The sequence below is a fragment of the Homo sapiens genome, chromosome 7 (assembly GCF_000001405.40).
Source record: "Homo sapiens chromosome 7, GRCh38.p14 Primary Assembly".
NCBI classification, from domain to species: Eukaryota; Metazoa; Chordata; class Mammalia; order Primates; family Hominidae; genus Homo; species Homo sapiens.
The window spans coordinates 96366009-96380001 of record NC_000007.14 but is presented as its reverse complement, the minus strand read 5'-3'; the positions used below and the strand labels follow the sequence as shown (position 1 = coordinate 96380001).

The 13993-nt window shown below is 36.3% G+C and overlaps 2 long non-coding RNA genes and 1 pseudogene across 2 annotated transcripts in view; all 3 read right to left on the bottom strand.

Annotated features, from left to right (window-relative positions):
* Window positions 1–13993, bottom strand: part of LOC105375410 (uncharacterized) — an 86586-nt gene that overhangs the window by 65086 nt on the left and 7507 nt on the right. The gene's annotated exons all lie outside the window — the stretch shown is intronic.
* On the bottom strand, window positions 2082–2145 carry RNU7-188P (RNA, U7 small nuclear 188 pseudogene; annotated as a pseudogene).
* Window positions 3568–6894, bottom strand: LOC124901702 (uncharacterized). Its single transcript, XR_007060442.1, has 2 exons — window positions 6818–6894; window positions 3568–3735 (listed from the first exon to the last, which is right to left on the bottom strand). It is a non-coding gene; the product is annotated as an uncharacterized LOC124901702 (long non-coding RNA).

Below are 13993 nucleotides of genomic sequence, written 5' to 3'. Positions count from 1 at the left end.
GACCACGGGATGGAGTGGTATAGTGGTAGGGAACAGAGAGACAAGAGATCAGAAGCACCTGGGAAGAAAAGGTTCCTAATTAGAAGATGTGGCTCCAGTGTTCTTGAAGGCACTCAGCTATAGTCAAGGACTGTCCATGACACAAAAGGGTGAGGTGAGGTTAGTGATACATATAATTTCTGCTTACATTAAGCCTATAAAATTAATTAGCCTAATTGACTAATAATTAGTTTGTATTATTAAGGATGGTAAGAAACCAGTCTCATATCTTGTAGCATATCATTATTAACAGAAATATTTGTAAACTAAGGTTACCACATATATGAATGTATTATTAGTTCTAAATACTCCTGGAAGGTAATTCAATTGGAAAGCAGTCATTCTCTTCACTAGCATGTGCACTCATGTGCACACACAGAGCACTCAAGGAAGGACTGAAAAGAGAAAGACGAGTAAGGAAAAACAACTAAGGAAAAAGTAAGGCAGAATTGGAAATCAAAACAAAATTACATCTGAAATGATGTGATTAATAAAGTAGCCAAAGAAGGGCACTCAAATATCAAAGTAATACATGAATAGAGATATTTTCCAAAACTCCAAGTAGAATATGAGAATCATTTCACTGTACAACTATAACAATATACACGCAACTAGTCTTCCTTTCTAGTCATAACAAAAATTACTTGAAACATATACAGAATGAAGGAAAGAATTCTGGTTTTGATACCGAGAATTCAAGGAGAGTAAAGTTATTTTCTCCAAAGGCTGAAAATCTTATATATATGTGTGTGTGTGTGTGTGTGTGTGTGTGTGTGTGTGTGTATATATATATCAGTAGTTGCTGTATATATATATATATATATATACACACACACACACACATACATATATATATATTCTGTGAGCACATAGGTAAAATTCCTTTTATCTCTTTCATCTTGAGAGCCTGAAATAATTTAATCTTCTTGCAAAGTTTCTTAAAAAGAGACTGTAAATGTTTACATTATTAAGCATGTATTTAATGGACAAAAACGAACAAGAACAAAAATTTCAGCTGAGGCATTTTTGCCAAGAAAAGATCTCCAGAGTGAATTTTGTGATGACTTGGAAAAAATAGAATAAGGTAGGTTCTGTGTAGAATAATGCTATTTGGAAAATTATAACTGGATTTTAAATCTATTTTATGATAGTAACAAGTCACTTCAAATTTTTCCTTACATGGTGTTAATTAAACTACATAAAATCAGGTTCATAAAATAAACTTTTCTTTTTTCACAATAGAAGAATCTAGCAGTTATCACTTTAACCAAGTGATCAAATATAGGATCCCCAGTAATGGAACACATTGTCATGATATGACTCTTGATGTGATGGTATTGGAAGTATATAACATAATCTATATTGTATTTTCCCAAAAATGTTTAACCTAAATATTAGCACAAGAAAACAATCAAATCCAGATTGTGGAACATTCTCTGAAACATATTGCTCTAACTCTTGAAAAATGTTAATGCCATGAAAGATAAACAGGAGAGGGAACTATTCTAGATTAAAGGAAACTAAAGAGACATGACAACCATATGCAATGTGATATGGGTTGGATGTTTGTTCCCTCCAAATCTCATATTAAACTATAATCTCCCATGTTAGAGGCGGGGCCTAGTGGGAGGTGTTGGATCACAGGTGCGAATCCCTCATTAATGCCTTAGTGCCATTCTCATGATAATGAATAAGTTCTCTGAGTTTGTGTGAGACCTGGTTGTTTAAGAAAATATTTCTCTCTCTCTCTCTCTCTCTCTCTCTCTCTCTCTCTCCCTCTCCCTCTCTGTCTCTCCTGCTCCTGCCATGTGATGTGCTGGCTCTCTTCACCTTCTGCCAGCATTGTAAGCTTCCTGAGCCCCTCACCAGAGGCAGTTGCTGACACTAGGCTTTGTATATAGCCGGTAGAACCATGAACCAATTCTAGTATATGGGTTTTCATTGTACTATTCTTTAAACTTCTCAGCATGTTTAAGATTGTTTAAGGACACTGGGTTATTAAATAGTAAATGAGGACTATTTCTCTCTTGTTTTGTTGGGGAAGGGGAAGTTTCCTGTGAAGACCAAAAAACCTGCTAGACAAATTCCATAAGAGCTGTAACACTCTGTGTTTCAGGTAATAAGTGAAGAAGGGACAATACGCTATCTCCATTTTGCAATTTCTACTATACCCTCATGGATCTAAGTGCTGAGCATGGCTGGTTATAAAATAAAAGATAATCAGATACTATATGCCTTTTAAAAGAATACACCATTACTATGAAGTAGTCTTGCCAACAAATCAAACCTAAAATGGACCAAAGACCTAGGTCAGTCATTTGCAAACATCAGTGGGATTAGGAGAACCCAAAAGGCTTGTTAAATCAGACTGCTGGACTGCAAGTCCAGAGTTTCTGATTAAATAGGTTTAGGGTAAAGTCTAGTCAGTTTCATTTCTAACAAGTGGGAGTGCTGAGGCTACACTCCATGATCATCTCTTGAAAGCAAATTTTCTAGATTAACCTGCTAATTTACTGAAACTGCAAAGGACAGAGAAACATGTTAAATAATACCATGGGGATGTTATCAACAAAACCAGACTGTGGGCAAGTCTAAAAAAAAAAACACTCCGTGTGTCTTAAATAAATAAATTGCAATTTAAATAAAGATGAAAGGGGAATATATAGATTAAAAGAGATTTAGGCCAGGCCCCATGGCTCATGCCTGTAATCCCAGCACTTTGGGAGGCCAAGGCAGGTGGATCACTTGAGCTCAGGAGTTCAAGATCAGCCTGGGCAGCATAGTGAAAACCTCTCTCTACAAATAAATACAAAACAGTAGCAGGGCATGGTGGTATGCACAGATCACCTGAGCCCAGAAGGTCAAAGCTGCAGTGAGCCACAATCATGCCACTACATTCCAACCTGGGCAACAGAGCAAGACTCTGTCTCAAAAAAAAAAAAAAAAAAAAAGAGAAAGAGATTTAAAAGATATGCCAATCAATTGCAATATGTAAAATTCTACTTAGATTCTTATTTAACATTACTTTTTTAAAGCGTATTTATTACATTTAAGAGAAAATTAGAACTTTGGCAATTGACTGGATGAATTATTACTTTTATAGATGTGTTAGTGGTATTTTTATTTTTTTGAAAGAGAGTTCTTCCAGCATTTTGGGAGGCCAAGGCAGGCAGATTGCTTGAGTCCAGGAGTTTGAGAGCAGCCTGGGCAACATGATGAAACCCTGTCTCTACAAAAAGTACAAAAATTAGCCGGGCATGGTGGTGCACACCTGTAGTCCCAGCTACTAAGGAGGCTGAGGCAGGAGAATCGCTCGAGTCTGAGAGGCAGACGTTGCAATGATTTGGGATTGTGCCACTGCACTCCAGCCTGGGTGACAGAGTAAGACCCTGTCTCAAAAAAAGAAAAAAATCCTTTTATGTTGATGTCGGCATGTCTTCCAGGCATATTCAAAGTACACATGTGACGATTTCTTCATTATTTTGACATTTGAGATGTCGAAATACTAAACCACCAAACACACACATGATCAATATAAGTTCTATTTTAATCACAAGCAAAAATATCAAAAATGATTTTGTTTAATTGTGAAAATATCATACATAAAGAGTACATTATAATAATAGCAGCATTGGAGCCAGGTGCATAATGTCATGAGAAATTGTGTCCAGCTCATGAAATAAGAAATCCACAATCCTAGGGGGCAAAAAAGAATGTATTATCAATGTGTAGCTTAAAGAATAACAATAAAATAAAGACCTGTGCATCCATCACCCAGCTTAAGAAATATAATATTATCAGTACCCCTAGAAGATCCTGAGGGCTCCATATAAATCTCCTCCCCATCACTGCCCCTGGAAGTAACTACTATGCTGAAATTTGAGCTAACTATTCCTTTGCAGAACTACATGCTTTTACTACCTAACACTATAGTTTCATTTGTTTAGATACTTATATAAATAGAATAATACCATATGCATTTTTCTATATATTACTTATTGTTGCTGTTGTACAACCTTGTAGTTTTGAGATTCAGCCATATAAATGTATGCAGCAGTAATCCCTCTATATTTACTGCCATATAGTATTCATTTGAACAGATATTCCAAGATTTATCAGTTTTTGTGTTGATGGATGTTTCATCTCTTCCTTTCCAAATTTTCAACTGTCCTATTTGATTGCACTATTACCTCCATTACAAAGTTACACTAGAATAGTGATGGAGATCAGTTCTTCCTGACTTCAGTGGAATGTTTCCCCTTAATCATGATGCTGGCTTTTGGGCTGAAATATACATTTATATCATGGTTAAAAAAAGTATTCATATATTGCTATTTAATTGAGTGTTTTGTCAAAAATGATTGCTGAGTTTTGGCAGGTGCCTGTTCAGCATTTATGGAGATGATGGTGTGATTTTTCTCATTAGTTCTTCCAATTTAATAATTTTTTAATATAGAAGTGTCATTGATTCATGAAATGAATTCCCCTGCTAATGACACTTGAATCTTAAAATTTGTTCCTAGAACTTATTTAGGAGTTTAGTATCAATATCTACACGTCAAATTGATCTGTAGGTCTTTTCTTTAAAACAATATGTCAGAATTTGGAATCAATGTCATCTTCATGCCAATAAAAATAATTTGGAATAGTACTTTTTTAAATGCTGTGGGCTGTCTAAATAGCACTAATATTGTCTTCCCTTTGAAGACTTGGTATAACTTTCCATAGAAACAAATGGGCCTAAAGCTTTTCTTTATTAATTTTCTCTGTTTCTTCTAAGGGGATCATTTTGTTTAGATTTGTCTATATCTTTTCTGATTTCAGTGTGGATATGTTATATTTTCCTAGCTAAAAGTTATCGTTGGCCAGATGCCATGGCTATACCTGTGATCCCAACACTTTGCGAGGCCAAGGCGGGAGGATCACTTGATCTAGGAGTTGGAGACAAGCCTGGGCAACATACAAAATCCCGTCTCTATGGAAAATACAAAAATTAGCCAGACACGGTGGCTGGTGCCTGTGGTCTCAGCTACTTGGGAGGCTGAGGTGGGAGGATCGCTTGAGCCCAGGAGGTGGAGGGTGCAGTGAGCCAAGATTGAGCCACTGCACTCCAGCCTGGGTAACAAAGCCAAACCCTGTCTCAAAAAAAGAAAAAACAAAAAGTTACTCTTCTCATTCAGATTGCCAAATATATTTTCACAGAGCTGAGTGAAGTTCTCATGATTCTTTTAATTTCCTGTTTCTGTCTTTATTTCCCTATGATCATTTCTTCTTTTATTTATTTGGGTTTTTTGTTGCTTTTTTGATTAGTTGACTTAGTGTTTTATCTATTTTATTGTTGTTTTAAGGAACGTTTTATATTTAGTTATTAGCATTATATTTCTATGTTGTAAATCACTATTTTGTTATTAAATTCTTCCATTTGCTTTGCTTAATTTTAATCTTTTTCATCCAGATGCTAAAACTTTATTAGTTTTTCACTTTTTGAATTCTAAGAAAATTATTTAGAGCTATTGAATTTTCCTCTAAATGTTGCTTTAGTTCTATTCCATATATATGGATATTTACTATTCCCCTTATTGTTCTTTTATAGAAGTTCTGTGATACTAGTTTGTCTTTCTTTGTTAACCCAGTTGTTTAAAAGTGAACTTAAATTTTTTCATGAATTAATTTGTACTTTATAATTTTAGTCATTGTATTACATAATGTTGGTTGTATTATTTCTACATTTTGGAGTTTATTGAGTTTTTTAACTGACATAACAGTTACTTTTTTGTATATATGGAGAAAGCAACTAAAAAGATATATTTTATATTTTTGGAGTACAAATTTTGAGAAATACATGTGTATATATACCTTATCTATCCTATTAACTATGTTTCTTTTAGTTCTTTATATCTTTATTTGTGGTCCTTTTGATATACATTGACTGCTTCTTCCCTTCCACACACATGGCAAAAATGCTCCTCCCCACCCCTTTTAGGTTAGAGATAGCTATATTAATTGCTTTGCATGATGAAATGTAAGCAAAAGTAATGTTCATCGCTTCCAGGTAGAAGCCTTTACAGGCTGATGCACAATTTATCATGTTCCCATTTGCTTGCCACAGTATCCAAAAGGGAACATTTCAAATGAAGGAGGAGCCATCAGCTTGCATCCCTCAGTAAAGAAGACATTGAAAACAGGTCCCTGCTGACCCATGATGGACATGTAGTATGAGCAAAAATTACGTCTTTTGTTAGTTTAAGCTACTGAGATATAGGGAGTGTTTGTTATTTAGCAGAATAAACATAACCTACCCTGCCCTATTATAGAGTAAGAATGCAACAGTCTTCAAGTTAGATTGATTCAGCAGCCCAATGACATTTATCAAAGACTCCATTTTTCCACCATTCACTCTTGAGATCAGCTTCTTGCTGATAACAAGAGATGCATCAGTTCTAGAACTCATATTCAGACAAGAAATAGCAAACTCAAGAAGAAAAAGCATCTTTTCTTCAATTTTCTCTTAGGAGCAGGGAAACTCCCTGATGTATTCCAGCAGATAGCCCTTTATACCTCATCAAGTAGAATTATGTCACATGCCCATTTCTGAACCAATCACTGGTAAAGGGGATGGAATTTTCATGATTGACTTAGATTAATGATCTAGGATGAAATAGATGTTGGGGTGCTAACCACAATGACTTCTACCAATAGCAAATAATATCTATGAGTATGTACACACATATGGAGGCGCTATTATTTTTAAATATTTTAATCATAATAAAAAATATACCATAGAAGCCAGGCATGGCCTGCACTTGTAGTCCCAGCAACTAAGGAAGCTGAGGTGGGAGGATAACTTGAGCCCAGGAGTTCAAGGCTGCAGTGAGCCATGATCACACCACTGCACTCTAGCCTGGGCAACTGAGCAAGACTATCTAAAAAAAAAATAACAAAAATAAAAATAAATTTTCAAATAAAAAAATTTAAAATAATAAAAAATATAATTGCCTTGATAAATATAAGACATAATCTACATTTACCATTCCAGAGTCATTACTTTTCCCAAATTCTGAATTTAAATTTTTTTTTGGTTTCCTTGGGGATAGTTTCTACATTTTGATTTGTATATTTCTTTTTCTCTTTTTTCTATTTTATTATTATTATTATTACTATTTTGAGACAGGGTCTCACTCTGTCACTCAGGCTGGAATACAATGGCACAATCTTGACTCACTGCAACCTCTGCCTCCCTGGTTCAAGGGATTCTCCTGCCTCAGCCTCCCGATTAGCTGGGATTACAGGCGCCTGCCACCACGCCCAGCTAATTTTTGCATTTTTAGTAGTGACAGGGTTTCACCATGTTGGTCAGACTGGTCTCGAACTCCTGACTTCAGGTGATCCACCCGCCTCAGCCTCCCAAAGTGCTGGGATTAAGGCGTGAGCCACCACTCTTGGCCTGATTTGTATCTTTCTTATGTCTTTTATTTGTAATAATAGTCCCTTATATGTCATCAATAAAAACAGGAAAGGTTAGGCCAAGTGCGGTGGCTCACGCCTGTAATCCCGGCACTTTGGGAGGCCAAGGCGGGCAGATCACGAGGTCAGGAGATCGAGACCATCCTGGCTAACACTGTGAAACCCTGTCTCTACTAAAAAAAATGCAAAAAATTAGCCGGGCGTGGTGGCGGATGCATGTAGTCCCAGCTACTCGGGAGGCTGAGGCAGGAGAATGGCGTGAACCCGGCAGGCGGAGCTTGCAGTGAGCCAAGATGGCGCCACTGCACTTCCGCAGGGGCGACAGAGAGAGACTCCATCTAAAAATAAATAAATAAATAAATAAATAAAACCAGAGGAAAGTTAAAATATGTAAAATTATAATCCAGAACAACCAATGACTGAAATTTACTTGTAAATTGGCATGTATCTGAAAAAGCCATAAAATATCACTTTAACCAAGGTTTCCAAACTTTCTGACTGACAAGTTAGCTAAGTGTGGCTATTTTGTTTTACTTGGCTGAAATACTTATTCTATCTAGACATCAATCAATTACCATGTATATTATCTCCTTGTCAAACACTGCTACTCCTGTTCTATTATGTACTTATTTATTACAAATGGTACATGATGTCATGATACTGAGTTATTTTCATAACTTAATGATCTTATATTACAATTTGCTTACAGGTAAAAATCTTTGTTCTATTATTTAAAGTACAATAAAAGTACTTAAATGCAATATCTTTTCATGTGGGTGATATATTTTTACTGACTAAAATGCAAATCAGAGTTTCCTAAGCATTTTAATGCACTAAATTTATATTAGAATCTAACGCTTAGGATAAATCAATCATTCCTAAACCAGATTATAAGGTCTTTGGTGATAAAAATCAAGTCTTTCAAACCATATTATCTGGTACACCAATTAAGGCTCCAGAAATACTTATTGATAATATGATCTAATGAGAAACAGTCAAATTTTAAAAATTAATTACTTATTGAAATAGCAATCTGTACTCATAATTTTGAAAATGAAGCAAGTCAGTTTTCAGTCCAGCATGTAAGAAGCTTGAAAATTGCTTTTCTAATAACAGCAAACAAAAATATGAACAAATTGAAAAATCAACAATTCTTAGATCTATAAGAAAATGAGGTCACAGGGAGAACCACTGCCTCTCAAGTTGGAGAAACCAACAGGTAAAACAGAAAATCACAACTTACTGGAGGAGAAACTCATGAGCTGAAACTTCCATGGGAACCGGCACCATGGTAGAAAAATCTAAACTTTAATTGGCAAATTGCTGGAGGCTTAGTGTGGACATATCTGAGAGATAAAGACTCCAGAGGGATTCAATCATCAGAGGGCACTTGAACTTTTGTAAGTTTTATCTCTTGGAGCTCTATTAAGTTTTCATAATGAATAGTAAAGAAAAATCCATTTATGTTTCTGGCAAGAGCAGGGGACAATAAACCACTGTGGAATAAGTCATTGTGTTCTGTTCTCAATAAGACCTATCTGGCCAGTCGCAGTGGCTCACATCTATAATTCCAGCACTTTGGAAGGCCAAGGTGGGAGGATTGCTTGAGCCTAGGAGATCAAGACCAGCTTGGGCAATAGAGAAAGATCTCATCTCTACAAAAAATAAAAAATTAGTTGCACATGGTGACAAGCACCTGTAGTCCCAGTAACTTGGAAGGCTGAGGTGAGAATATCATTTGAGCCCAGGAGGTCAAGGTTGCAGTGAGCCATAATTGCACTACTACACTCCAGCCTGGGCAACAGAGTAAAACCCTATCTAAAAAAAAAAAAAAAAGCCCTGCCCTCAGGAGAAACCATTTAACCAGAGCCTAACTTGCTGGGGTTTTTATCAGAGCCTAACTGATCTGGGCTGGGGAGCATCACTGGTGGGGGCTAAGAGGCATGTGTGAAGTTCATAATTCAGAGGGCTGAGATTTAATCATGGGACTGACTATACAATGCCTCCCTTCCTCCAAGACCTTAGCACCATGTTACTAGAGGCCTATTTACAGAAATTCCTTTTATTCAATACATTATGTACAGCTATCAAGAAATAATTACAAAACATACTAAAAAGCAAAAAAAAAAAAAAAAAGGACAGAGAAAGTATCAGAGCCAGACTCAGATATGGCAAGGATGTTGGAAGTATCAGACCAGGAATTCAAAACAGCAGGGATTAATATGCTAAGGACTCTAACGGACAAAGTAAACAGTATACAAGAACAAGAACAGATGGATTGTGTAAGCAGAGACAGCAATGCTGTGAAGGAAATCAAAAAGAAATACTAGAGAATAAAAACACTGTAACTGAAATGAAGAATACCTTTGGTGGACTGATTAGTAGAATGAACACAGCTGAGGAAAGAATCTCTGCACTTGAGGATATCTCAATAGACCTCCAAAACATAAAAGCAAACAGAAAACATACTGGAAAAAAAAACCCAAAATAAAATATCCAAGAACTGTGGGACAACTATAAGAGGTGTAAATACATCTAATGGGATTACAGGGAGAAGAAAGAAAAAACAGAAGAACAGACGACTAAGAATTTCCCCCAAATTAATATCAGATACAAAACCACAAATCTGGAAGCCCAGGGAACACCAAGTAGAATAAATGCAAAAGAAAAAGGAAAGAAAAATACAAAACAAACAAAAAAAAAAAACAAATAGGCACATCATTTTAAACTACAGAAAATCAAAGATAAAGAAAAAATACTGAAAGAAAGAAGCACAAGGGAAAATCATTACTTATGGAGGAGAAAATAGAATTCCATCCAACTTTTCCTCAAATACCAAAAAAAAAAAAAAAAACAGAAGAGAGTGAAGGTAGATATTTAAAATGTTGAGAGAAAAAACTACCAACTGTATTCTGTGAAATTATTCTCCAGAAGTGAAGGGGGAAATAAAGACTTTCTCAAACAATCAAAAACAGAGGGAATTTATTGCCAGTAGATCTGCTTTGCAAGAAATGCTAAAAGTAATTCTTTTTTTTTTGTTTTTTGAGACAGTCTCACTCTGTTGCCTAGGAGTACAGTGGGGCCATCTCAGCTCACTGCAACCTCTGGCTCCCAGGTTCAAGTGATTCTCCTGCCTCAGCCTCCCAAGTAGCTGGGATTACACGTGTGGGCCACCATGCCCGGCTAATTTTTTTGTGTATTTTTTTTAGTAGAGATGGGGTTTCACCACGTTAGCCAGGCTGGTGTCAAACTCTTGACCTCAGGTGATCCACCTGCCTCAGCCTCTCAGAGTGCTAGGATTACAGGCATGGCCACCACACCCGGCCAAAAGTAATTCTTTTTTTTTTTTTTTTTGAGACAGAGTCTACCTCTGTCGCCCAGGCTGGAGTGCAGTGGCATGATCTCAGCTCACTGCAAGCTCTGCCTCCTGGGTTCGCACCATTCTCCTGCCTCGGCCTCCTGAATAGCTGGGACTACAGGTGCCTGCCACCAAGTGTTGCTAACTTTTTGTGTTTTTAGTAGAGACAGGGTTTCACCATGTTAGCCAGAAGGGTCTTGATCTCCTGACCACGTGACCCACCCGCCTCAGCCTCCCAAAGTGCTGGGATTACAGGCATGAGCCACTGTGCCTGGCCCAACAGTAATTCTTAAAAATAAAACAGGCTTGGCATGGTGGCTCACACCTGTTATCCCAGTACTTCGTGGGGCTGAGGTAGGAGAATTGCTTCAGCTCAGGAGTTCAAGACTAGCCTGGGCAACATAGTGAGATTCTGTCTCAATTTAAGAAAGAAGGAAAGAAGGAAGGAAGGAAGGAAGGAAGAAAATGATAAATGTCAGAAACTCGATCTACACAAAGAAAAAAAGCATTGGAAAAGAAACAAGTGAAGGTAAAATAAAAACTTTTATTTTTCTTATTTTTAATTGATCTAACAGATAAGAATTTTCTCAAATAATAATAGCAAAAATGTCTTCAATTATGTATACTTCTGCATATATATACACATATCTTTATTATACTCATGTAAAAGCAAAATGAATGACAGCAATGATACAAGGGAAGGGAGGAAAGAATTAGGATTATTTTGTTATTATAAAGCACTTACACAATCAGAGAAGCTGTAGAGTGTTATTTGAAAGTAGGCTTGGAGATATAAATACACATTTAGTTGTAAATTCATATTACAGACTTGAGGGCAACCACTAAAAAAAGTTAAAAAAAAAAAAGAAGTATAACTAATATGCTAATAAAGGAAAGAAAGTGGGATTATACAAAATGCTCAATTAAAACCATAAAAGGCAGAAGAAGAGTGGAAGACAAAATAGAAACAAAGAACAAAGCCAACATATAGGAAATACTAACAAATATGGTGGATATTAATTCAACTATATCAATAATCACTTCAAACATTAATCGCCTGAATATACTAATTAAAAGACAGAGATTGTCAAAGTGAATCAAGAAACAAGATTCGACTATATGTTGTCTACAAGAAACTCACTTTATTAAGTTATGATAGATGTTGGCATGAAGGCAGTGAAAAGGGAACACCTATACACTGTTAGTGGGAATGCAAATTAGTACAACGTCTATGGAAAACAGTACGAAGATTTCTCAAAGAAACTAAAAGTAGATCTACCATTCAATCCAGCAATCCCATTACTGGGTATCCAAACAAAGGAATAGGACTCATTACATCAAAAAGACACCTGCATATGTATATTTAACACAGACAATTCACAATTGCAAAAATTTAGAACCAACCTGAGTGCACATCAACTGATGAGTAGATAAAGAAAATGTGGTGTATATGCATCACCATAGAATAATACTCAGCCATAAAAAGAACAAAATAATGTCTTTGGAGCAACTTGGATAGAGCTGGAGGTCATATGCTAAGTGATGTAACTCAGGAATGAAAAACCAAATACTATATGTTCCCAGTTTTAAGTAAGAGCTGAGCTATGGGTACAAAAAGGTATACAGAGTGGTATAATGGTCATTGAAGATTCAGAAGAGGAGAGGGTGGCAGGGGCGTGAGGGATAAGAAAACAACATATGGGGTACGATGTACACTACTTGGGTGATAGGTGCACTAAAATCTCAGACTTCACAACTACACAATTTATTTATGTAATCAAAAACCATGTGTATCCCAAAAGCTGTTGAATTATTATTATTATTATTATTTTTCCCAGAGTCTCGCTCTGTCACCCAGGCGGGAGTGCAGTGGCGCGATCTCGGCTCACTGCAAGCTCCACCTCCCAGGTTCAGGCCATTCTCCTGCCTCAGCCTCCCAAGTAGCTGGGACTATAAGTGACTGCCACCACACAGGGCTAATTTTCTGTATGTTTTAGTAGAGACAGGGTTTCACCGTGTTAGCCAGGATGGTCTCAATCTCCTGACCTTGTGATCCGCCTGCCTCAGCCTCCCAAAGTGTTGGGATTACAGGCATGAGCCACTGCGCCTGGCTGAAATTTTTTTGAATGTTAAAAATAAGATAATAAATACAAAAATAAATAAACTCATGTTAAATATAAAGACACATATAGATTAAAAGAAAATGGATGGAGAAAGATGTATCATTCTAACAGTAATCCAAAGAAAGCAGAGTAGCTCCATTACTTTCAGATAGAGTAAACTTCAAGTCACAGAAATCTATCGAGAATAAAGAGGGTCATTACATAACGTTATAGAAGTCAATTCTCCAAGAAGACATAATAATCTTTAATGTGTATGTGCCTGACAACATTGCATCAAAATACTTGCATCAAAAACCGATAGAACTGCAAGAAGTGGATAAATCCACTGTTATCATTGGAGACTTCCACACTCCTCTATCAGAAATGGACAGATCCAACAGGCAGAAAATCAGTTAAGAACATAGTTGAATTCAACAACACAATCAATCAAGTGCATATAATGAACATCTATAGGCTATTTCATCCAACAACAGCAAAATGTACTTTTTGCAAGCTCACATGGAACATTCACCAAAATAGGCCATACTCTGGACCATAAAACACATCTTAACAAATTTAAAAGGATGGAAATCATACAATGTCTGCTCTCATACCAAAATGGAATTAAATGATAAATTAATAACAGAAAGCTGAAAAATCCCTAAATACTTGGAGTTAAGCAACATAACTCTAAATAACACGAGTCAAAGAAAACTCAAGAGAAAGTTTAAAAATACTTTGAACCAAATGAAAATGAAAACACAAATTATCAAAATTTTGTGCATGCAGTGAAAGTAGTACTTAGAGGAAAATTTATAGCATTGAATGCATATATTAGAAAAGAAGGAAGATCTAACATCAGTCGCTCAAGCTTCTACCTTAGGAAACTGGAAAAGGAAATGTGGAATATATACACCATGGAATACTATGCAGCCATAAAAAAGGATGAGTTCATATCCTTTGCAGGGACATGGATGAAGCTGGAAACCATCATTCTCAGCAAACTATCACAAGGACAGAAAACCAAACA